The sequence below is a fragment of the Homo sapiens genome, chromosome 3 (assembly GCF_000001405.40).
Source record: "Homo sapiens chromosome 3, GRCh38.p14 Primary Assembly".
Taxonomy (NCBI): Eukaryota; Metazoa; Chordata; class Mammalia; order Primates; family Hominidae; genus Homo; species Homo sapiens.
In genome coordinates this window covers 25,851,132-25,877,975 of record NC_000003.12, presented here as the reverse complement: position 1 = coordinate 25,877,975, position 26,844 = coordinate 25,851,132, and the positions used below count along the sequence as shown (strand labels likewise).

Genomic DNA, 26,844 nt, shown 5'->3' with positions numbered 1-26,844 from the left:
TCTTGGGCCTAAGTCACATGTTTGTGCCATTCAACATTACATTATGTGGGCAAGTGAAGCAAACACAAATATCAACATAAAAAGAAAACACAAAGATAAAACTGAATAAGTAGCTATAATACTAGACATCTTAATCACCACAGAAAGACAAATAAGAACGGAAGGATGAAAATCTGCTATTCAAAATAAATGTTAGTGGCTCATGTCCCCAGCACTTTGGGAGGCCAAGATGGGAGGATCACTTGAGCCCAGGAGTTCAAGTTCACCCTGGGCAACACAGTGAGACCACATCTCTACAAAAATAAATAAATAAATGTGAGTTAACCTTAAATTATTTGGAAAGATTTTAGTTTTTAAAATTAGTTATGCTTGAGTTTATGTTTTGAGGACTTTGTGTGTTTTGAACATATAACAATGATAAATAACATTTTTAAAAGATGACCAAAACATATGACTGCATTTAAAATTGAGATAAGCAACTCCAAGAAGCAAGGGCACCAAAATATTCAGTAATGAGCAGGACCCAGCAAGGCCTGTGGTCCTTTGCATACATAAGTAGGCAGAGGATTCTGGGAATTTGGCTGTGTTGGGAAGAGGCTGGAGTTGGACTCCTCTGCTCCTAAGAGGAGGAAGAATATATGCTGCCAACCATTGCCTGTAGCTGCTACTTACACAAACCTCATGCCTAATGAGGCAGATGGACACACACAGCACCTTGCGACAAGATACTGAGCCAAGCCATCCCCTGACTCTGTGACTGATTCTGCAATAGCCCAATTATCACTGAGGGACAAGAGCAAGAAAGCACCAGTATGAGACATGGTCCTGGATCAAAGGCCAGGTGGTCAGGCAGGAGGCAGGTGGGTGCAACCTCAAAACTGCTAAACGGGGATAAATTATACAGAGAAAGAGACAATCTTCAATATACGATGAGCCAGAAAACCCTTAAAACCAAGACACATAAATGAAATTACAGTTAAGACAGTCTATGAATCAGATTATGGATTTATGCCAAAAAAGTTAATACCCTCAAGAAGATAAAGAAATAACACTCATAAAATAAATAAGAGGTCTAAATCCAAAGCAGTCAGTAATAAAGAACAGATAATGATAAATACATATTAGTAAAATTAAACTTATAAACATTAAAGTTTTTAAAAAGATAGACAAAATAAAGTGCTAGTCCAGCCCAAAGAGAAAAATAATTAATAAATTGGAAGGCAGTCTAAGGAATTCACTCAGAATGTAGCACAGAAATAAAGGGATTTTAAGATATCTGTGTCTATATGGATAGAGAGAGAGAAACAGAGACAGAGACAAAGACAGATAGAGAGGCTCAAACAATAGCAAAAATAGTGCCATATAAATAGAATCAAAGATATGATGGGGAAATAATATTCTTGAAGATAACTACTCAGATTAGTACAAAGACTTGAAAAGTCACTATCTAGTAAAACTGAAGATGTGACTTCCCTAATCAAGCAATTCCATAATTGATAAGAATATGAATAAGAATATGCCAATAATTTTTAAAGTTAGATAAAATGAATAATTTTCTGGAAAAGCATAAAAACACAAAAATTGGCTCAATAAAAATGGAATTCCCAAATAAACCTAGAAAAACTGATTAATTTTTTTCAATATCTACCAAAAGAACACCCTAACCTCCCACAATTTTATAGGTACATTTTATCCCATATTCAAGAAATAAGATAATGTCTCATATATGAAAAAACAAGTTCATATAAAGACATTACTAATCTTTAGTAATTAAAACAGTGTGATGTTGATGCACAAATGGAAAAAATGTACCAATGAAATAGAAAACTCAGAAACAGATATATCTATGTATCATATGGTATATTGCAAAGATGCCCTATAAATTAGTAGGGAAATGTACCCTTATGGCCTACTGAATAATACAGATGCTCTCATTTAAGCCATTCAAAGTCATCACCAAATGGCTCAAACTTATCTCTGTAATCTTACAGCCCATTACTTCCCCCACTATATATCACATGTGCTGTTAAAACTCATCTAATCATTATTTCCCTAAAAAAGCTGTGAGGGCCTGCCTCTGTTACTTTTATCCCAGCTGGATTTTCCACTTAGAATGCCCTTTTAACTCCCCAGTACCCCCTGGCACATTAAAGCCTATTTCTCAAGGCACAAATCCAAGAGCACATAACAAAAAATACACTTCTCAATAACAAACATCACACAGGGATTGTATGCTGGCTATTTGGGTGAGTGTGTTATCTCTTCTATTGAGCTGAAAATCATTGAGGGCAAGGATTGTCAATCTATTAACGATGTCCCTTACCCACATAGTCACACACACCTACAGTGGCCTAAGACATGATAAATGATTAATAAAAAACTTTCAGATTGAATTTAGGAGTTGAAATAACGTCAAGAAAACTGTTACCCACAACTTGAAATGTTTCCAATTTTCCAAAATTGGAAAAGATATATTCTACACGATTTTCAGTTCCTAGGAAAAATAATCTAGTCTCCTATTACCAATTACCAATGCATTTTAACTATCATCGCTTGCCAAAATTAGAGACCCATGAGTGATCGATACAGGTTAGGGATTCTTATCATTTAATCCAATTATGTTCCATTTGTATCAGTTATTTTCAGTCCATTAAAACACTTATTCAAACTCTTGGGTTTTCCCCTATCTTCCTTTTTAAAAGTATTTCCTTCAATATGTTAAATGAATAGAAGAGGCTTTTGCTGAATCCCTGCAAAAACATACTAAATGACTGAGACTAGAGCAAATATACCTCCTGAATTAAAGTACAGAAATAGCCTTCAGAGAGAATAATAGCCTAATAATATAGGAGATGTTGAAGACTGAAAACACTAAGTCTTAGGGCTCTTATACGAAAGGCATGTGGCAGGGAATCTTTGTTTTTCACCGTGAAGGGGAAAAATTCAGATTTTAGGCATAAATATACCTCCATCCTGATGGGAAGGAGACACCAATGGGAGCAAGTTAATAAAATTAAAACCTAAAAAGGACTGGGTAGAAGTGGGGTCAAGATAGGAAAGCCAAACATTCAGGTTTCCTCTGCATTCGCATCAATTATCTGTACGTCAAGTGGTAAAGGCAGCAGCTACGGAAGCTAAGCTAACAGTTATTGCCGGGCGCGGTGGCTCATGCCTGTAATCCCAGCACTTTGGGAGGCCGAGGCGGGCACATCATGAGGTCAGGAGATCGAGACCATCCTGTGAATGGTGAAACTCCGTCTCTACTAAAAATACAAAAAATTAGCCAGGCGTGGTGGCGGGCACCCGTAGTCCCAGCTACTCAGGAGGCTGAGGTGGGAGAATGACGTGAACCCGGGAGCAGAGTTTGCAGTGAGCCAAGATTGCACCACTGCACTCCAGCCTGGGAGACAGAGCGAGACTCCTCTCAAAAAAAAAAAAAAAAAAAAAAACAGTTATTAGAGGTAGTTCAAAGGCCTGGAGGCCAAACTTTGAAAGCAGAGGTGATGAAAGTCTTGGGTACCAGGGATCAAGAGCAAGTCAAGCATCTGAAACACAAAAAGGTCAACGCAGAGGTAAAGAGGACAACAGGATTTCAGTGGCCAAAGTACACATGAATACAGAATTGTGAATGTCATATGGAGCAAAACACTGGCAACAAGAATAAGAATGCAAGAATGTCTGATTTGTGAAAGAATCATGATATGTTATGAAAATTGATACTTTCTGATTTCTTCTATACATCTTACTAATTATAAATTATTCTGAGTTGACCAGTAAATGCAGAAAGTATTTAAACCAGCCAGAGCCCAGGAGTGTTCTGGATACAGGTGAGCTCTGTTGGCATCTGGAACAGAAGAACTGGATGTGGCAGATTGCACCTTCCAAAGATGATCACCATAGTATCTCCTATCTAATACGCTGTTCCGCAATATGACTTTGACATTTCCTCATCAAGAAGTGGAGTCTTATTACCTTACTCTGGGCTTGGCTTTACTGGCTTGTTGAACCAGCAGAATATGACAGAAGTGACACTCCAACCTCTGAAAAGACTGTAAAAACACCTTGCAATTTCTACCTGAGCCTCTTAAAAGGATCACTCTTGGGATGCTGTCTCTGAGGACTGTGGCCATATGAAAGGTCTCAGCCACATGAAAAGGTTATTGGTTGGTGTTCAGGCATGTAGCTCCAGCAGAACTCCTAGGAAACAGTCATCATCAACTGCCAGCCATGCCACATTCCAACTCAACTGAACCTTTAGACGAATGTAGCCCTAGCCTCTATTTGACTTCAACTACAAGAGAGATGCCAAGCTGAGACCAGTTAAGCCACAGAACTGTGAGATATAAAAATAAATTGTTATTTTAAGCCATGTGTTTCAAGGCGGCTTGCTATGTAGCAATAGATAATCAGTACCTAGGGTTACAGGGATGATTTTTTAAATTATCTCTATCTATGGCTAGTAATACTGGGGCCATGACACTTACAGTTATCAACTCCAGCAGACTCAGAAATTCACTCAGCTCCCCTACTCCACCCTTTTTGGTTCTCCAATAAAATGTTTGGTGATGGATGGCTCTGGAAGTTAAATGAGACTTGGTATTACCTGGGAAATTTTGATTTGCAGCAACTCCACAATGACTATTATTGCACATAACTGAGATGTGACTAGAGCCTGGAACAACTGAAAACGCAGAAAAGTCTGTATTATAAGACCAGGGTGGAGAGCAAGTACTGAAGATAACTGAGTGATCACTAAAATACATCAGAGAATCCACACTCTCGTGATAAGTGGCATTTGAAGGGAGAAATTTTCCAGAGAGATAAATGAGACCTTTCTCAATTAATATCAGTACTTGTGTTGCTTGTTATATTGTTGCATTTCCTCCTGAAATATTACAGGCACCAGGCTATTTCACTTACCTCCAAACCTTCAATTGTTTAGTCTCTGTTAATGCAAGGTCATAATGCAGAACACAGATCCTCAGTTTACAGTCAATCCTCAATTATTCAAGGCTTATGGAGTTACAGCGCAGTCCAGTAGATCTCTGCTTAAATATTGGTTTCATTGACATTTGGACACATCTGGAAATTCAGTCTGCTTAATTTTGATTTTGCTGACATCACAACTCAGTTATTTGAACTCTAAATACCTAATCACCTCTAGTGCAAGTTTGAGCTAGATGGACGGCAGGAGAGAAGTAAACATTTATAGATTGTCTTTTGCATTTTACATACATTATCTAATTTAGTCCCCACAGCAATTCAATGAGATATTACTATCCTTATTTCATAGAAAATGAAACTCAGGCTCAGAAAGTTCAACTTAAGTTTGCTTCCTTCCCCATTTTGTTGCTTAACAATATAATTAAGAGAATAGACTCTAGAATCAAACAGACTGGAATTATCTTTTTATCATAATATGTTTTTATTAAAATGAGTTTTTAAATGTATAGTTTATCTGTTTTTATATCTGGCAGTTTCTCTATGATTTAGCTTTCAGAAAAGTCATATTGTTCTCAAATGACCTAGCTTTTACCTTCGTTAACTCAAACCTGCACCCATCTGAAGTGAAACCAGCAACCATTTAACAGCAAACAGTAGCAGCAGCATGCACCAAAAGAGAATGGAAAGTGAAAAGAACACAACAGATCATTTTAAAAGGTACATGCCCTAGAATTTTTTGACAATGTTTGAGCGTGGTTCTCAAAACTACAATTCTATAAGTCAGTGAATGCTGAGTTTTATTTGGAAAGCATGGTCCCACCTTGTATAAAGAGAAAAAGCAGCCCTAGAATAACAGTACCAATTGTAAAGGGCTATTTCATGGCATCAATTAAAGCATGCATGCCATCGGTATAGTCTTTTGCCAAACATGGACCTTCAGTGTGGATACACGAATCTCTGCCAACTTAGCTTCATATTTTACATGAAATATGGATACAACACAGGATAGAAATATAAATGGTCTGCAGTGTGACTTGAAATTTCTGCCTATTAAAGAACTGTGTGTTGGTGACTTATCCATTAACTAAGGGACTTTAACTCCAGGCAAGTTGTTCTAATTCTCTTTTCTTTTCAGTAGTGTGTCAATTGCCTGGTTCTCCACTGACAGCTAAAATTAAACAAAAAAGTGAATTCCGTTCTACAGTGTGACCATCTTATGGGAACACTAGAGGTAAATTTTTTAAAAGTCTGCAATCTCTAATATAATGAAAGCATAAAAGTATTTGCAGGCATCATGTAAGATGCAACAATAGAATGTGGACTGCACTAAATCAGAGAGCACATAGACCATGCTGAAGATTAAGTAATGACTGTACACAAATTAACTTCAGCAGTAATCTTTGAGGAATACATTTCACTGCAGTAATATTAATCTAAAATTAATACATTTCACTGCCTGCATAGGCAGGCAGGAGGGAAAGCAACAAATAAAAGCAAAGATCAAAAGAGAATCTCTGGCAAATAGATATTCTGCAATTTATAAAATGCAAGAGAAAATGAAGGAGCCCAATATTAGGCCTAACCCCTTTTAATCTACATGAAAATGTGAAGAAATTAAAACTGTCTGTAACTGATAACTAACCAGCCAGAATTGTATGTCAATCCACAGAGACAAGTTAAAAACAGGTAAAAACAGCAGATTATTTTATATTGGCAATCAAATATATATGAAAGAAGGAGTAAAATGTTTAAAAAATTGGCAAAAACTACTTAGAAAATAAGATTCCCTGAAGAAAAACTATCAAGGACACATCTAAATACATGTTAGAATGAGCCAATATGGGACAACTTCCCATTATCAACTATTAAGACAAAGGTTCTAGACATGGCTTAAAAGTATTAGCTTTATCTGATGCTCTGACAGTGCAGAGTGATATTGGACCCAAATGTAGGATCTAGAGGATGACAGCTTGAATGTTAGTATCTTGGCTGAATCAGGCTCAGGGTGGAGAGAGTGATGTTAGAACCAGGACTCTTGCAGAGAGCCAGAAACTAGGTCCAAGCAGCCAATTCATGAAACTAAAGAAACTAGAAAGATTCTGTCCCCATGGAGGCAAAGTGTCAAGGAAACTTGCCTTCAGGATGGGAAAATAGAAAGTTGTCTTAAAGCAATTTAGCAACCCATGTTTGCCCTACATGTGGATGTAGAATCAAAGTTACACTTCCTTCATGGGGCAGAAATTTTAAGCCAAGAAACTAGCATAAGAAAACTGGTCTGGAACTGATGAAACATCTATGGAACTGATGAAACATCTACAGTACTGACAGAAGTAAATAATACCACTTTCAAGGGGTGCTTTCAGATCACTGGTGACTCAGACACTGGCAACACAATAGAAACAACAGGGAAAAGATGAACTCACAATAGAAAATTGCAAATTACACAGGGAAATGCATCACCATGAGGAGGAGACAGCATACCAAAAAAAGGGAAAACTTCACAACCTAAAGATTAGGCATGATACAACTATTTGAGTTTATAAACTAAATGTGTTTAAAGTTATGAAAGAAATTAAAAATAGAAATAATAATGAACATCCTAGATATTTCTTGATTTCTGAATTATGTCCTCCGACATTCCTTTGGTAATTTTGGAATAAAGTCTATTTTTGTTTATCTAAAAATTGGGGTAGGAAGGTAGTATACACTACAAAGGACACAAGGGAACGTTTGTGGGTAATGGAACTATTCTATAACTTGATTGATGTGGCATTACAAAACTGTATATGTGTGTCAAAACTCAATGAACCATACACCTAAAAGAGTGAATTTTACCGTGTAAAGTATACCTCAGTGCCTTATACCAAAAAATAAAATAAAATCTCTCCTTTTTCAGGATATCCATAGACAGCAGAGAAAAAATAGCAAAATAGATATTTTGACTCACAGAAAATGAATGTTTGCAAAGATTCACCAAGAAATAAAGTCAACCAAAAAAGCAAAGTCATGGAAAAGAAGTGAGTTCAATTTATATTAAGAATTCATTTATTAAAAGCAGTTATTACCCAAACACCAGGCCCCAAAGGCAGACACTGGTGAGGCAGCCTCACATGGGAAGGAGCTTCCCTGGTGAGATTCAGTGTCAACTCACAGCCATATCCTTTTCTATAAAAAATTCATGACAGCAAAGTTTGCTTTCATTTATAACACTGAAAAAAATAAAGCTTTAGTCAATAGATGTTGCTGAAAAGTGAAATTACATTTGTTGAATTAGAAAATAAGAAAGATAATTTGAATCCAGATTTTACCAGTAATTATTAATATGATCCTATGCCAGATGTTTCACTTCTCTATTTCTTAGATTCCTCATTTGTGAAAACATAAGGAATTAGCCAAATGATCTTGTGGGTCCATTCCTGCCCTCATGTTCTAACAGTGTGATTAATTTGGGCTTAGACAAAGAACCACTAAGACTTTAAGGTCGAAATATGAATTGGAGAAAAATTAGAGACCTGTAAACTCTGCCATGATTGAAGCTTTATAAGACAGTAGAGTAGGAAAATAATGTTTTCCTCAAAAAATCTTTATTTGGAGAGTTTTATTGTAGAAGTTAATTTCTACACTGAAGTCGGAACATTAGAACTTGAAATTTCTCTTTCTGATTCTCTAGACCTATATTATAGTTTCTACGGCACCAACTGGTATGCTGCAGTTTTTATTCTGGCACTAACTACCTGGAGTTAGCAAAGACCCCACAAGTTAAGGGCTCAGTCTTCCACAAGACTACTCTCACTTGAGACTCCAGCTGAACATCAGGGTTCCCCAGGCTGCCTGCACTTTGACTGACTACAGATTTGGGGGTTCTCACAAATGCCTCAGGTTTGATAATTTTCTAGACCAAGTCACAGATCTTAGGAAAGTGCTCTACTTATGATTAAAGTTTTATTATTATAAAGGATACAGATCAGGACCAGCCAAATGAAGAGACACACAGGGCAAGGCCTGGGAGGGTCCCCAACACAGAGCATGCATGTTCTCTTCCCATAGACAGAACAGGTCAACCTCCCATCACATTGATGTGTTCATTTGTCAGGAACCTCTCCTGAGACTTGGTGTCCAGAGTTTTAATTGGGGTTTCATTATGTAGGCATGATTGATTAAATTATTGGCCATGTGATTCAACTCAATCTCCAGTCTTTCTCCCCTCCCCAGAGGTCAGACTGCCTCAAAGGAGTCACCTTTTAATCATGTTATTGGTCTTTCTGGTATCCAGCCCCCATCTAAAGTGATTGGAGAACTGATCTTGAGTCATCTAATTAGCATAAACTCAGGTGTGAACCAAAGGACTCAACAACTCTATCACTTGGGAAATTCCAAGAGCTTTAGAAGATATGTGCCAGGAACCTGAGACAGAGACCAAATTCTTTATTATACAGCATAGCTCATCTCAGCTTCTCTATGTACAGTCTTTTAAAATATTCTTTCTATGAATACAGGCATGCCTAGCTCCAAGATGCTAGTGGATCACAACTGCCCTAGGTACAGAGCCCCAGTTTGATATGACCTTTCAGCTTTAACACCCAACTCCAACTAACAAACATCCCTATTGTATCATATTAAATCCCTCGGAGAAAGAATCCAAATATATCCAGTTTGAGTCAAGAGTCCATTAGTTTAAAAAGCTATGATCAGAGCAGCAAAGTTATAGGATGCTTCAAAATAGGACTAACAATTCTCAAAGAACTGAACCTGGACTTGGCAAGCATCAGACAATGTAAATCTAAGTATAGTTCCTATGGTTATGAAAAGCACAAGTGTGCAAAATGGGCTTAGAAAACATGAACAGGAAGCCATACAAGGAGAACCAAATATAAGCAATCTCCAAGATTTTGCCTTCCTTCCTATGCCCTTTTTTAAAAGCAGATATGAAAATAGTTTGGTTCAACTATATACCAATAGAATGTCAAAAGATTAATTTTAGACATTAATCAAAAGATTAATAGTAAGATTAATGTTCTTGGGAGTCAAATCCAAATTGGACATGTTCTATCTTGTGTACAAATGGTTCTGTTTTGTTTTATAGAATCATTGTAAATGGAAAGAGTGGTTTGTGGCAAATGGGAGAAAGAGAAATTCCATTTAGGAGTATTTTCTAGAAGTAAAATATGGAGAGCTAATAGGAGACAGATAAAGACTTACCAAATATTACATATTTGAGCTAAAAGAAAAAAGGTAAAGTTCGCTTCAACTGTATGTGAGGGAAGCTAATTAAGGCTACATTAAGAAAAATGAGAATGTATCACAATGATGAAGATATAGCTCATGAACTCCAAACGCAGAAATGTAATCTGGCCTCCAAAAGAGACAAGAATCAAGGCCTCAGAAGCCTCCAGAAGGCTGAGCCCCTTATTTTAGCATGTTTCATCTCCTAGCATTCCCATCCTGCTGTTTCTCAGGCTACATAAATATGCACGATGGCCACTTCCCAACCCTAGGTTTACTTTGCCTCCATTTGAAAGGCCAAACTAAAGAAAGTTAAAAATCCTTAGTTCCAGTTCTTTCACTCCAGAAGATACCATCTGATCAACCTATTCTGGTCCAATCGGCAATGGCCAGAAGGGAAGGAATCACACAGTGCAAATATGGCTGCTGGGGGTCCCTCCCTGTAGGGCAAAAAGGCAGTTTAAAAATCATTTGTGAGTTGAGAAGATACCCCAGAAAGAGTCTCTAATACTCTCTGCTTACTTAGTTTCAGAAAAATAATAATTGCCCTGGACAAAAGACAATATCTGAGCAGCATCTCTCCAGGATACTGATGGGTTCTGTATTTAACGCTTTTATAAATTACATGAACAGTGAATGCTCGAAAAGCCTCACATTTGCAGATAAACAAAGATCTTTGGAGTATGAATAAGCCAAGGTGACAGGAATAAAATGCCAACTTATTTACTTCAATGAGTGTAAGAGAAAGGTAATACATTAATTCTGAAAAATCAAAGATATATAATCTTGGATGCACTGAAAAGAATTTCAAATAGAAACCTGAGATATTATTATTATCTAAAAGATTAGTGAGAAACTTTCATCTACTGAATAACTTCTAAGACTAAAGTTATTAGTCACTCATTTACTAATGCAACAGAAATACAGAGAAAAGGCAGGGCAAGAGGGAAGGCAGAGAGGAGGAAGGAAAGAAAGAAAAGAGAAAGGAAGGAGAAAAATGCATGCTAATACATCATGATTACCTGATGAGTCAAGTATTATCAATCCCCTTTCTCAGAGAAAGAAATTGTGACTGCAAATTTCCATAAGTTACCCAAGATCACCAGCTAGTAAGTAGAATAACTAAAATTCCAGCTCAGGTGTGTTTATCTGACTCCAAAGTATATGTTCTCTCCAACACATGATTATCCTACATTTTTTAGACTTGGCATGAAATTCTTGGCAAAAACATTAAGGACTATTAAAATAGCTTAATGAAAAACCATGAGGCACTGATTTTTTTTAACACTATGTCAAAGTGTGGAGATGAGACATAACCCCTTTGGATCCAGGTTATGAACCATGAAAGGTCAGTGCAGTGTCTCTACTCACCTACTTTCACAAGCCAAAAATGCTGCCCTATTTACTGGCTCGGGCCCGGAATTTCCAAGAGAAAACTCTGGCCTCAGGTAGAATGAAAATATTCAAACTCAATGGCAAAGAAGAAATAAGAAAAAATGGATGCATCATGTTAAAGAAAAAATAGGCCTGGCACAGTGGCTCACTCCTCTAATCCCAACACTTTGGGAGGCTGAGGCAGGCAGATCACTTGAGGTCAGGAAGTCGAGACCAGCCCGACTGATGTGGTGAAACCTCATCTCTACTAAAAATACAAAAAAATTAGCCAGGCATGGTGGCACATGCCTGTAGTCCCAACTACTCAGGAGGCCGAAGCAGGAGAATCTCTTGAACATGGGAGGCAGAGATTGCAGTGAGCCGAGATTGGGCCATTGCACTCCAGCCTGGGTGACAGAGTGAAACTCTTGTCTCAAAAAAAAAAAAAAAAAAAAAAAAAAAAAATATATATATATATATATATATATATATATATATATATATATATGCTACATATAGGCAAATAAAGCAAAAATAAAGTTAAACTGGAAGCTGTATTTGTAATATATATGACAGTAACTATTTTTTAAAATAAATTGTATTAATATATTTAAGATATATAACATGACGCTATGGGATACACAGGAAAAAAACAGGTAACTATGTGTGATGATGAATATGTTAATGAAGCAAATTAATGAAACAAATTAACATATTCATCATCGCACATAGTTACCTATTTTTGTTTGTTTGCTTTTATGGCAAGGGCAGCTAAAATCTATTCTTTTAGCATAAATTCCAAATACAGTACAATTTTATTAACTACAGTCATGTTGCATATTAGATCTCTAGATGTGCTCATCCTATATATCTGCTACTTTGTATCCTCTGACTTACATCTCCCCATTTCTTCCCCATCCAAAGTAATCACTCTTTTGTTCTCTGTCTCTATATATTTGAATTTTTATTTTTTAGATCCACAGATGAATGAGATCATGTGATATTTATCCCTCAGTCTGGCTTATTTCATTTAGCATAATATCCTTCAGGTTCATCACATTGTGGCAAATGGCAAGATCTCATTCTTTTTAGAGCTGAATAATATTCCATCGTATATACATACCATCGTTTCTTTATCCATTTGTCTATTGACATACACTTAGGTTTTTTTATGTTTTAGCTATTGCCAATAATGTTGCAATCAACATGGTAGGGCGGATATCTTTATGAGGTGGTGATTTCATTTTGTTTGGGAACATGCCTACAAAAGGGACTGCTAAGTCATATAGTAGTTCTGTTTTTCATTTCTCTAGAAACCTCCATACTGTTTTTCATAATGCCTATTGGGAATCTGCATTCCCACCAACAGTGTACAAGAATTACTATTCTTAATAGCTAAAAAAAAAAAAATCAAACAATAAGAAAAGATTAAACACAACAGAAAAGGGGCAAAGAACTGAAAGAAAAATGCATTTGCCAAATAAACTTATGAAAACTCTGCCCATCCTTACTAATAACTTCATTATTTGTCTATCTAACTGCAAGTTGCTCTTTCTCTCTCACTTTCTTTTTAATGACAATACCCAGGATTATGGAAGGTGTTAGAAAATGTACTTTCTTAAATATTGCAAGTGAGTGTGCAAAATGTTAACACATTTTCTATAACATCGTTACTCAACATGTATCAAAGAATAAAAATTCATGTACTCTTTGACCCAACATTTGCACTTCTAAGAATGTATTCTAAGAAAAAGTTAGAGCTTAAAAGCCATAAACATTCATATTTTTATATGAAAGTATTTATAAAAGCTAAAACAAGTGTATTCTTGAGGTCTGAAAAAATAAACTAAAACAAGATAATGTACAAAAATAGAAACTGCTAAAGAAAGTTGATCCATTTATATTTTTAAATTATTTGCAACCACTAAAAAGTATGTACTAAGAGAATATTAGTGTTCTAAATAATTGTGTTTGACACTCACCAGATGTATACCAAAATATTAACAGTGATTCTTTCTGGGTAGTACTATTATAGAGGATTTTTACTTTGTATGTGTGTGTTGTTCTGTTTTTCAGTTTCTATAACAAATTAAGTTGCATTATTTTTATAATCAGAAAACAATTATTTGTTAATTAAAATGCAAATTATTCAAGAAGAGAGGCATATTTCTATTTATTTTATCTGTGTAAAGGTTTTAATCCTGTCAGAGGAGGTCAGAAATGTGACAACACATTTTGAGTGGCTGGAAGTAAACTGTCTTCAAAAATTTGCAGAGCCTTATTAAAGTATTCCTTCCCAAAGCAAAATACAACAGTGCATTTCTAATAAGAGCAATTAGCTTTTGATGATAAATTCTACCCAAATAATACAGGATTCAGAATCTTCAAAAGCAATAATACACAGTAACAACAACATAAAACAATAAAAATGATAAAATACAAAATCAAAACAAAGTCATCTCATTAAAAACAAAGGATTACTGTTGAAAATACATAAGCTATCATGAAAAAAATTTTATTGTCTTTAATAATATTTTTATTTGCAAATGCCAATGCCAAAATGACTTTATTTTCCCCTCTTACTGGTGCTTTTATGATCATGTTTGGATATCTCTAAGACTGCTCATGCAGTTGTCCCTTGCTACAGGGACCAAGGGAAAACTTCCCCTTTGCCCCCTACAGGTTCACTGAAAATCAACTAGCAAAAGGCAGACTAACAGAAGAGAAGCCAAACAAAATTTATTAATGCACACACATGTGCATGGGAGTCATAAAAAATGTAAAATCTCAAAGAAAAGGCCAGCTGGTTGATGCTTTCATGCCATGAGGTTAGGGGGCTGGAGCATGCCAAGACTGGTAATGGGAAGGAGAGAGAAACAAAAGCGTGGGGCAAAGGCAATCTTATTATATAGTTAAAATCTCCCAACTAGCAACTCTCAGAAAGAATAAATGGTATCCTGTGGCTGAGTTAATCTTTTCTAGATCCGGGTAAGGGAGAGGGCCGTAGAGAAAGCCTGGATTTATTATTTTACTAATGTGGTTTTTTTCTCTACAGATGCAAATCTCCACAAAAGGCAGCTTTTCAGGGCTATTCCTGTCTACACGCCCTCTGAATAACCATCTCAAAATATGTTCAAGAAGTATATTTTGGTACAAAACATTTTTGGTTTTCTTTAGTCCCCCCATTTGAAACTTCGTGTTTAGAAAGTTTCACATATTAAAATGGGGTTGGTAGCTATGAAGAGGTTTGGGTCAGAGGTTGTGAGATAAGAGACTGGCAAAGGGGAAGGGGAAAAAGCATACATTAGACCAAGCAGCTGATACCTTCTTGAATCAGTCTCTTATAAGTCGGTTCAGTTAAACACTTGTGCCCCATTCCAGGAGGTGGCATTGCAGATGGGATCTCAAAGCCAAGTCTCTACATATGATACAGGCAAACAGATGTTTGTAAGTAATATGCTTGTAAGTAAGATGTCTGTTAGTAAGAGGTATGTCTATGGAAACAAAGGAAAAACTAAGGTTAATGTCTAGAGTAGTCTATAAACTAGTTTTTCTCAAGTCTCTAAAACACCTTCAGTTGGATTGGGCAGGCATGGCAATCGGACAGATTTTTGTAGATTGTAGTTCAAATCATATGTTCTAGTGAACCTTCTGAGTAGTCCATACATCAACAGGCATGAAGGCCAAATATAGATAGATAGATAGATAGATAGACAGACAGACAGACAGACAGCTATGTCTGGGCACAGTGGCTCATGCCTGTAATCCCAGCACTTTGGGAGGCTGAGGCATGCGGATAGCTCGAGGCTGGGAGTTTGAGACCAGCCTGACCAACATGGAGAAACCCTGTCTCTACTAAAAATACAAAATTAGCCAGGCGTGATGGTGCATGCCTTTAATCCCAGCTAATCCGGGAGGCTGAGGCAGGAGAATCACTTGAACCTGGGAGACGGAGGTTGTGGTGAGCTGAGATGGCACTATTGCACTCCAGACTGAGCAACAAGGGCAAAACTACATCTCAAAAAAAAAAAAAAAAAGAAAAGAAAAAAGAAAAAGATAGATAGCTGTAGTGATTTCTTCTGAAGTTTTTATCAAGTTGTCTAGTTTCGATTTGCAGGGCTTTAAGGAAAGCACAGTTTTAATTTCTAGTGATTCTAGGTTAGAGGAGAGAAAGAAAAATTGGAAATGTTAGTCTACAGAGTCACAGTCATATATTTGAGGAAACTAGAAATTTAGGATTTCGTTTATATTGCAGGTAAATAATAAAATCTCAAAAAAAAAAGATCCAGAACCTAATAACAGATGAACTATAGGTATCGTTCTGAAACATAGTTTTCCTGTCTCCAGTACCCCATTTCTAACAAAGAGAAATCATAGTAAGACCAATTTATGTACAAAATAAGTTTAGTTTTATTACACTTGGCCTATTTGCATAAAGTATAGAAAGAACAGTGATTGCTATATAGGCTGTTTTTAAGCTGGCTTTGCTGGAATTTTTTAATAAGGAATTTTGGATTTAACTTTTAAAAATCTCTTGAGGCTTACAAGCAAAGCCAAATACTGTGTCTGTAACACTTTTATGAAATGAGTGAACTCAGTCTAGGCAACATAGCAAGACCTCGTCTCTACAGAAAAATTTAAAAATAGCAAGGTGTGGTGACACACACCTGCAGTCCCAGCTACTCAGAAAGTTGAAGTGGGAGGACCACTTGAGCACACAAGCCAAGGCTTCAGTGAGTTGTGATTGTGCCACTGCATTCCAGCTTGAATAACAGAGCAAGACCCTGACTCAAAAAAAAAAAGAAAAGAAAAAGAAGAGAGATGGGTGAACTCCTCTTTAGCTGAAGACCCCCAAAATCTCTTGAGGTTCCTGGGGCTGTCAGAAACTGTTATTTAGTTTTATCAATATCATGTTGTCCTTTAGAATCTTTAAATAACCCATAAACTAGACATAATTATTTCATTCTCAATAAACACAATCTTCGTGCCTCTGTAACTTTCCTCACCAAAAACATACCTTACTTTTCTCGTACACTTTGCATATGGAATTATTTCTTATTTCATTAGTTTTAATTATATATATTCTCATATATATAATTATATATATTCTCATATATATAATTATATATATTCTCATATATTTAATTATATATATTCTCATATATAATTATATATATTCTCATATATATAATTATATATATTTAATCTTAACTCAATAATGCTAATTTCTAGCGAAACCTAGGAAATGAGTAATTTTGGACTGTTTTATATCAGTATTTAAAGGTGAAAGCCATTTTATAATTTTTAGAAAGATATTCTTTCTCAATTTTTTGTTTATTAACAGCTCTAATTATATTTAGTGTTTCTATACCTTAGCAAAATAAGATGTCAAAGTAAATAAACTTATATTTAATAATTAATGTTTTCATAGTTTAACTTACTTAGAAATGACTTAGACATATAATTATCTATTACTTAATTAAACATATATGGTTTGGCTGTGTCCCCACCCAAATCTCATCTTCAATTCCTACATGTTGTGGGAGGGACCCAATGGCAGGTAATAGAATTATTGGGGTAGGTCTTTCCTGTGCTATTCTTTTGACAGTGAATAAGTCTCATGAGATCTGATGGTTTCAAAAGATCACAAGCTCTCTCTTTGCCTGTTGCCATCCATGTAAGACATGACTTGCTCCTCCTTGCCTTCTGCCATGATTGTGAGGCCTCTCCAGCCACATGGAATTGTAAGTCCATTAAACCCTTTTTTCTCTGTAAATTACCCAGTCTCAGGTATCTCTTTATCAGCAGCATGAAAATGGACTAATACAACATGACTTTAAGATTTTAAATTACTAAAAATAATTTTGAAACTATAACACAGATACCACACTACCCCATGACTTCCCCAGTTGTCCTGAGTCCTGTGTACCATGTGGCACCAAAGAGACTATGAAGGATAGCACCTATTTGGGTCCTAGATTTATATATCAGAGGTAGAGCCCAGGACAGAGGACAGAGCTCTGAAGATGGTAGCTGGTAGCCCAGGTGCTGCAGGCACACATATGTCCCCAGGCCTGCTTATGGCCACCTACCCAGACCCCAGAATCCAGAGACCAAAAATCAGAAACGTAAGTTCACAGTAAGATGTGTGCAAAGCTTCCGGTGAGCCCAGAAGCCAGCCCTTATTGCTTTAGCATACAGGCAAATCAAGCAAGTACAAAAAATACTATAAAAGCAGCAGTCGTATGATGTTAAAACATGTAGCAGAGACAGCATATACCTATCTGAAAGTAGATCCAGGCAAAAACGTCTAAACTATATTTAGTACTGACAATTCTGAAGACTTTCCTATTTTATTTTACCAACAGTTTTTAAACTAGCTTTACTTTCCAAAGATTATCTCAGATCACATAGCAATATCATATACACATAATACACATTGACATATAGACAGACACAAAGACAGAAGCAGATCTTATAGCTTTCATTAAGATTCTTCATTTGCTGGCTTCCCGATAGTTTTGCTTTCCCCAATTCAGATCAATCTTGTGATTACTCATTTTACTCCCCTAAGAAAACAGGTAGGCAACCCCAAATTTGTACTTCTAAAGGAATGACTCTTAGGTGGAACAAGGTAAAAAATTTATATCTCAAAGACACAAAACATAGATCTAAACATAATTATCCACCAAGACAAAGAGGGGCTTAGGTAAATGCACAGAAAAGGAAAGATAGCCAGGAAAAGTACATTAAATAAAAGTAAGGTTTGTTATGTAAACTTGCCTTTCTCATTGTAAAAGTTTCTCATGGTTTAGATACGGAGAGGAAGGTGCCCTTGCAAATGGAGGTTTTCTTTACAGATAGAAATTTCTTTCACAAAGAGCTTTTAAAGAGCCAGTGAAATGCCATAAATATGTACTTTGGAGACGGATTTAGTTGAATAGGTGGCTTTTAAAATTAGTTTCAATTTCTTAACTGGGTCATTGATTTCAGGGCAACATCCATTAACGAATAGGGCCAAATCAACTCATAACTCTCAGGACTCCATGAGAAAGAAAGGCGGCCCCAAAAGGGGTCACTGGTGTCAGGCCTCTGAGCCCAAGCCAAGCCATTGCATCCCCTGTGACTTGCACGTATAAGCCCAGATGGCCTGAAGTAACTGAAGAATCACAAAAGAAGTGAATATGCCCTGCCCCACCTTAACTGATGACATTCCACCACAAAAGAAGTGTAAATGGTCGGTCCTTGCCTTAAGTGATGACACTACCTTGTGAAAGTCCTTTTCCTAGCTCATCCTGGCTCAAAAAGCACCCCCACTGAGCACCTTGTGACCCCCCCACTCCTGCCCGCCAGAGAACAAACCCCCTTTGTAATTTTCCTTTACCTACCCAAATCCTATAAAACGGCCCCACCCTTATTCTCCCTTCGCTGACTCTCTTTTCGGACTCAGCCCACCTGCACACAGGTGAAATAAACAGCCATGTTGCTCACACAAAGCCTGTTTGGTGGTCTCTTCACACAGACGCACATGAAAACTGGCACGTTGGCTTTATTCCTCAAGGGGTCCCAGAGTCACTAGCATATCTTTTAGATCTGTTTATGTGGTAATTGAAACTCTCTTATTTTCTTTCTTCAGTTTTTCATCCAGTGACTACCAAATGGAGGAATTATCGTCTTGAAGGGGAACGTATCAATCACTTAAGGAAACTAGATGGGAGACTGAAGGTGGCAAAAGGAGAGGCATAGCAAATGGAAGAAGGTGTCCTAGAGTCACTCTTAAACTTTGAGAAGTTTGAGATATTAGGTTGGTGCAAGAGTAATTGCAGGTTTTACCATTACTTTTAAGAGCACAAGGACCAAACATATGAATATTTACACTAAAAAATAAACTAGAGTTGCTTCATCTAAGACTACTGTAAATGCTTTTCTCCCATTAATCTTAATTTGAAAAAGGAAAAAGAGATAGTGATTTTTACCGACCTCTCAACAGGATTCGTGAAAGACACCTGGGAATCTGACTGGGAAGATATTCTTACCCTACGGCTGGCGTGTCAGATCCTGGGTTCCCTTGATGTGACATCCAGAGGAGCAGAGTGGTTTTGGTTATCCTGCTCTACAACAAAACTGTAGAGCTTTTTGTATCCTGCAGTACAACAAAACTGCAGAAGCCAAGGGGAAACTTCCCCTTCGCCTTCTGAAGGCTCACTGAAAATCAGCTGACAAACAGCCCATTATTAGGAGAAAAGCCAAACAAAATTTATTATTGCACACACATGTGCATGGAAGTAATACAAAATGTGAAAACTCAAAGAAAGGGCCAGGTGGTTAACGCCATTACACCATCTTGAGATTATAGAATAAACATGGGCTTGGAGTGTAGCAAGACGGTTATAGGAGGGAGAAAGAAAGGCATGGGGCAAAGGTGGGCTTGTTGTGTACATGAAACCTCACAGACAGCAGCTCTCAGAAAAAAAGAGATGGTAGTTTGTGGTTGAGTACATCTTTTCTAGATCTGGATAAGGGGGAGGGCCTCAGAGAAAGTCTGGGTATTTATTTCACTAACGTGGATTTTTCTCTACAGATGCAAATTTCTTCCACAAAAGGCAGCTTTTCAGGGCTATTCCTGTCCGTAGGCCCTCTGAATAACCCTCTTGAAATATGTCACTGAAGTATATTTTGGAGTGAAATATTTTTGTTTTCCTTTATTGGCAAAAGAGAAAATGTGTTAGTTGCAATAATTAAAGGAAACAAAAAATAGACTATGCTCATAATTAATTAAATTGTATTATATTTTTAATTTCCTATAAAGATAGTATAGATTGAGTTAGATTTAAATAAGTCTGGCACCTCTCTTCCTGATTTTCTTTCCGTCCAAAATATTTCTCCCACCTTACACCAAAATGTCCAGCACACACTATTTTGAGTCATTCCCTAGGGTCCTAAAGGCATTTACTTTATCAAGAGGCTATCATTATTGAAAGGCAAATACTCCCTGAGCCAAATTCAGCTCAGTAATTGATTAGTTGGAGTCATCTGAGAGTAAAAAAGTGACCAGAAATAACATACAGGTGAGGGGACTGTATACCAAGGACATTCTAAGAGGGCATATGGGAAACAAATGGCAAAGCTAAAGGGTCATAAAATCAAGCACTGCTTATCAGCTATGTATCCACGTGAAGATAATTAATAATAATAAAATTCAAAAAACATATGCTTTTAAAAATCAAGAAAACATCTACTTCAGCCCACACTATTAAAGAATAGAAAGCTAACCACTCATTTCCTGAGATGAGCAGCTTCCTCTACTAACCACAAGGTGGGGCTCTATTTGAGATTGCAATGCTTAGATTCCATACTCAGAGCCAAAACAGCAACTTGCATTAGAAATCCCATTTATAAACCATTTCCTTCCAGTCAAATCAGTTTTAAATAGTACTTGCTGCTGTTATACCACTTTGCCCAAGTAGAGACTTCTGTCCATTGAGAACCGTTCATTAACGATGTTGCATTTATATAGGCAAAGTCAATGCTGAGTTCCAACATCAATAGCCATCATTTTCTGTTATGGATTGAAACAAAGGGTTTACGTCCCCTCAAAATTTATACATTGAAGCCCTAACCCCCAATGTGGTGCTACTAGAAGGTGAAGTCCTTGGGAGAAAATTAGTTTTAGATGAGATCACAAGAATGGAACCCCTATGATGGGATTAGTGCCCTTTTAAAAAGAGGTCCTCCCATCTCCACCATGTGAGGCTACAACTACAAGCAGACAGATCAGGATACAGGTGGCTGTCTGCAAGCTAGGCAGAGGCGCTTACCAAGAATGGAAACTGACAGCACCTTGCTGTATATATATGTGTATATATATGTATATAGAGAGACACTAGATATATATATTATATATAAAAGATATATATATATATTAAATATTTGGCTGTTTGAGCCACCCAGTCTATAGTTTTTTTTTTTTGATACGGAGTCTCACTCTGTTGCCCAGGCTGGAGTTGAGTGGCACGATCTCAGCTCACTGCAAGCTCCACCTCCCAGGTTCATGCCATTCTCCTGCCTCAGCCTCCCAAGCAACTAGTACTACAGGCGCCTGCCACCACGCCCGGATAATTTTTTGTATTTTTAGTAGAGACGGGGTTTCACCCTATTAGCCAGGATGCTCTCGATCTCCTGACCTCGTGATCCGCCCACCTCGGCCTCCCAAAGTGCTGGGATTACAGGCGTGAGCCACCGCACCGGGCCAGTCTATGGTATTTTTATAGTACCCAGAGCTAAGACAGAAATTGGTACCTAGAAGTGGGGTGCTGCTGTAACAAATATCTAAAAACACAGAAGCAGTTTTGGAACTGAATAATGCATAGAGGCTAGAAGGGTTTTCAGATGCATACCAGAACAATTCGAGACCATTGTTAAGGTACTGCTCAATGGGATTCTAGTGAGAGCTCAGAAAGAAAAGAGGAGAGTGAAAGAAAAAACCCTCCATCTTCCCAGAGAATATGTAACTAATCATCAACATACTGTTGGTACACATATTGATGGTAAAGGTCATTCTGATAAGGTTTCGGACAGAAATGAGGAACAAGTTATCGAACAATTTTTAAAAAGGCAACATTTGTTATAACGTGGCAGAGAATTATTCTGAATTGTGTTTTTATTCTAGAGTTTTGTGAAAGGTAGAACATGCAAGTAATGAAATTGGATATTTAGCTGACAATTCTAAGCAAAGGGTTGAAAAACTGGTTTGGTTCCTCCTGACTGCTCAGAGTATAATGCAAAAAGTGAGAAATGACATCAAGACAGAATTGTTAAGCAAAAGAGAACCAGAACTTAAAGATTTGGAAAATGCCCAGCCTGTCTATATTGCAAAAAAAAGAAAAAGCATGTTCAGAAGAAAATACCAAGCATGTGTCTGACCAATCATTTGATAAGGAGATTAGTGTGGGTGTGAATCACAGACCTAATCAGTGATGTCAACAGAAGCCAGAAAATAGATGGGATTATATCAGCAGAAACACTGCCAGCTGAGACTAGAGGAAACATTCAAAAAGGACAGAATGAAGGAAGCTCGTGAATATGTGCTATTCCTCAAGAAAGGAAACCTCTCTCCACCATGTGAGAATACAGCAAGAAGGGTGCTGTCTGCAAGTTAGGGAAAGGGCCTTCACCAAGAACCACATGTGTGGGCATCTTGGATCTTGGACTTCCCAGCCTCCAGAACTGCGAGAAATAAATGTTTGTTGTTTAAGTCACCCAGTCTATACTATTTTGTTATAACAGCCCAACTTGATTAAGACACTTTCCTTGAGCTAAGCTTTCTGCTCTCATTATGCCTCCTCCTTCTTTCTTCTTTCCTTTTCTTTTATGGATCTTGTCATTTTATTTTTGTGTCATGACAAGTGACATCGGTTATTGGATATGTGAAATATCATACTATAGCAGATATGGAGGTTTGCCACTCAGATCACTTCAAGAAAGGACTTCCCGCCCAGCAGTGGGGAGTGCAGTCACCAGGCAGCCTCCTACTCTCAGCTTCTTCATAGTCTTAGCTGCAGAAAGCCACCTCACTCAAGTTCACATTCTTCCCAGAGCAGCCTGCATCAGATGACTAAGCAGAGTGTCAGGGGATAGGAGATAGTAGGGATATGGAAACTCGGTCATTTCAACCCAATGTAAGACCAGTCTAACAGGCAATGCTTATTCTAAAGCTACCTACAGAGGCTTCATTGGGCTTGCACTGCATGTTAGCTTTTTCCTCTAGTTGATACTGCTTCTAACTCTTTTCCTTTTACAGATACTGATCTTTAACAAACATCTTGAACACCAGACTACATCTGAGGGTCTACTGTCTACTTCTGGAGAACACAGCCTGTAACAATGCAAAAATAAATTGCTCGGATCATCTGATAATGACAGGCTATTAAATAATTTGGAACACTGAGCTTCCACTTTTGTACAACTTCAGATTTTTTTTCACTGACTCACCATTTATTCATGTATTAAATAAATATTTGAGTACCTCTTATGAGCTAGGCACTATGCTTGTTAGAAGATACATGAAAAATATCTGGAATGCAAACACAGTACTAGAGGTAGAACAGACATCTCATAACCATGAAAATGAAAGCTATACTTCTAAGGGATGGCAGAACAGAGCCAGAAAGAGCTTACATGAAGCCACAATTACTGCTCTAGATTGCCTATCTCTGGCCTTCTCATTGTATGAGAAAAATAGCCTCTTCTTGGGTTTTCTGTTAGCTCAATGGAACCTAATCTCCAGCTGATGGAATCCCCCCACTTGGTACTTATTATGCCTGATGCAAATACCATTCTTTTGGCAGTTGTTTGTTAATTTATCGACTGTGATTGAATGAATTATTGATAGTGCTTGCTTTTATTTTACTCCATATTCCCTGGTCAAATCCACAAAGTCAGCTAATAATAAAGCCCGGAGAATAATTTGGTCTCTGGTAGCTCACCACTTGGCTCAAAACCTGCTCATGCTACTCTTCCTTTTGCATTTCAAAACCATGTTCGTATTATTCCTTTTAGGGCATTACCACATGAAAATGAACAACAATAAAAAGGATTTAACCGGTAAGATCATTTTGACACTTTTATCTTCTATATTTTATATTCAAATTAAAAGAAAATTTGACACATGGGATATGAGGCTGTATAAACATATAACATATTATTTAAATGCTTCAGTTTCAGAGGAGCTGAGAGATAAATGGCATGCCTATAATTATCCCTCCACCATCAATAAACTTCAAATTAGTATCTACTCTCAAACGCAGAGAAAATTTAAAAGTGATTTTATGAAATTTCAGAAGTTACATATTCATAAATTTGTTATATTAACTTCTGAGACTCCTGGACACAGAAGTTGTCTTCAGATCCTATTTACTTGAAGGGAATTTTTCCATCTGTTTGATAGAGATACAAGAAGACCACAAGGATAAGGCTGACCACCAAACACATCCAGGCTTTTTGAGTCTCAGAAAAGCTTTCCACCAAAATTAAAACCACCGATGATGTGACACTAGATTCAGCTTATCTCCCTATCCATTTTCTTCTTCCCAATTTTATTTCCTATTAATTTTTTTGATTTATATGTCTATTAAACAATCATTCATTTAACACCAATTATGTCCAAGTACAGTGCCAGGCACTAGACAGAAAAAAGGCATGGACCTGGGCCTTAAAAAAGAATTCGCAGCCACATAGATACAGCAGATACATAATAAATCACTTAATAAAATGTATTATGTCAAAAAGTAAAAGAGGGCTGCTTGGGTGATCACAGGAGAGAGAAACTCAACTCAGCAAGGAGGAAGAGTTCAGGAAATATCTCTGAGAAAGCAGCCTTTGAATTGTCTTAAACAACGAACAGAAGTTACCTCCGTGTCCGGAATTGGTGGGTTCTTGGTCTCACTGACTTAAAGAATGAAGCCGCGAACCCTCGCGGTGAGTGTTACAGTTCTTAAAGGCGGCGTGTCTGGAGTTTGTTCCTTCTGATGTTCGGATGTGTTCGGAGTTTCTTCCTTCTGGTGGGTTCGTGGTCTCGCTGGCTCAGGAGTGAAACTGCGAACCTTCGCGGTGAGTGTTACAGCTCTTAAGACTGAGCGCCGCGTCTGGAGTTGTTTGTTCCTCCCGGTGGGTTCGTGGTCTCCCTGGCTTCAGGAGTGAAGCTGCAAACCTTCGAGGTGAGTATTAACAGCTCATAAAGGCAGTGTAGACCCAAAAAGTGAGCAGCAGCAAGATTTACTGCAAGAAGTTAAAGAACAAACATCCCACAGCGCAGAAGAAGACCCCAATAGGTTGCCACTGCTGGCTCAGGCAGCCTGCGTTTATTCCCTTATCTGGCCCCACCCACATCCTGCTGATTGGTCCATTTTACAGAGAGCCAATTGGTCTGTTTTACAGAGAGCTGATTGGTCCATTTTACAGAGCGCTGATTGGTCCATTTTGACAGGGTGCTGATTGGTGCCTTTACAATCCCTGAGCTAGATACAAAAGTTCTCCACGTCCCCACTAGATTAGCTAGACAGAGAGTGTCCACACAAAAGTTCTCCAAGTCCGCACCAGAGTAGCTAGATACAGAGTGTCGATCGGTGCATTCACAAACCCTGAGCTAGACACAGGGTGCTGATTGGTGTGTTTACAAACCTTGAGCTAGTTACAGAGTACCAATTGGTGTATTTACAATCCCTTAGCTAGACATAAAGGTTCTCCAAGTCCCCACCAGACTCAGCAGCCCAGCTGGCTTCACCCAGTGGATCTCACACCGGGGCCACAGGTGGAGCTGCCTGCTGTGCGCCTGCACTCCTCAGCCCTTGGGTGGTGGATGGGACTGGGCAGCATGGAGCAGGGGATGGCGATAGTCGGGGAGGCTTGGGCTGCACAGGAGCCCACGGCAGGGAGGGCAGGCTCAGGCATGGCAGGCTGCAGGTCCGGAGCCCTGCCCAGTGGGGAGGCAGCTAAGGCCCGGCAAGAAGTCGAGCACAGCAGCTGCTGGCCCAGCTGCTAAGCCCCTCACTGGCCGGGGCTTGTGGGCTGGGGTCCGCTCCGAGTGCCAGGCCTGCCGAGCCCACGCCCACCTGGAACTCGCGCTGGCCCGCAAGCGCCGTGTGCAGCCCCGGTTCCCACCTGCGCCTCTCCCTCCACACCTCCCTGCAAGCTGAGGGAGCCGGCTCTGGCCTTGGCCAGCCCAGAAAGGGGCTCCCACAGTGCAGTGGCAGGCTGAAGGGCTCCTCAAGTGCCGCCAAAGTAGGAGCCCAGGCAGAGGAGACGCCGAGAGCCAGCGACGGCTGCCAGCACGCTGTCATCTCTCACCTCTACCACTGAAAATATTATCCAAATCCAACTGCTTCTCAGAATATCCACTGCTACCAGCCTAGTGCATCATTCATCTATCTGGATCACTGCAATGGCCTCCTAACAGGTACCTCTGCTGGAAACCCCTGTGCCTACAGCAGCCACAGTGAGCTTCTTAAGAGGTGATCAGATGATGTCACCCCTCTAATGGCTTTCCTACATTCTTAAAATAAAAGTCTTCACTATGTTTATAAAACCCTACAGGATCTGGTAGTTGGCTACCCTTTGGATCTTATTTCCCATTACTCTTATTTCCTATTACTCTTCCCCTGGCTGACAGCAGCTCCATCTACACTGGCCCCCTTGACATTCCTCAAGCACACCAAGAAATTTGCCCAGGAGTGTTTGTATGTGGCGTTCTTTTTGCCTAGAAATATTCTAATGGCTTACTCACCTTATTTGGATCTCTGTGGAAAT

The 26,844-nt window shown here is 38.3% G+C and overlaps 2 long non-coding RNA genes across 3 annotated transcripts in view, besides 2 other annotated features; one reads left to right on the top strand and one right to left on the bottom strand.

The window, feature by feature from the left end:
• Positions 1-4,198, bottom strand: part of LOC124909357 (uncharacterized) — a 105,069-nt gene extending 100,871 nt beyond the window's left edge. The window contains exon 1 of one of the 2 annotated variants that reach the window (XR_007095849.1): positions 3,973-4,198. This is a non-coding gene — a long non-coding RNA (uncharacterized LOC124909357). The remainder of the gene's footprint in view (positions 1-3,972) is intronic. The other variant, XR_007095848.1, reaches the window with a different exon arrangement.
• An 82-nt stretch (positions 4,199-4,280) lies between these two features.
• On the top strand, positions 4,281-19,444 carry LINC00692 (long intergenic non-protein coding RNA 692). The gene is made up of 8 exons (NR_034055.1): positions 4,281-4,335; positions 5,494-5,661; positions 6,080-6,175; positions 7,841-7,961; positions 14,597-14,691; positions 14,923-14,988; positions 17,224-17,285; positions 19,178-19,444. It is a non-coding gene; the product is annotated as a long intergenic non-protein coding RNA 692 (long non-coding RNA).
• Positions 18,361-19,320: an enhancer, noted in NCBI's record as "NANOG hESC enhancer chr3:25900147-25901106 (GRCh37/hg19 assembly coordinates)". NCBI's record gives its function as "activates a minimal SCP1, AML or CMV promoter by ChIP-STARR-seq in naive and primed H9 embryonic stem cells {active_cell/tissue: H9 hESC(naive and primed)}" and the evidence as "EXISTENCE:reporter gene assay evidence [ECO:0000049][PMID:30033119]".
• Positions 24,528-25,727: an enhancer, noted in NCBI's record as "BRD4-independent group 4 enhancer chr3:25893740-25894939 (GRCh37/hg19 assembly coordinates)". NCBI's record gives its function as "activates an origin of replication core promoter dependent on BRD2, P300/CBP, MED14 and CDK7 cofactors, and independent of BRD4, by STARR-seq in HCT116 cells {active_cell/tissue: HCT116}" and the evidence as "EXISTENCE:reporter gene assay evidence [ECO:0000049][PMID:35650434]".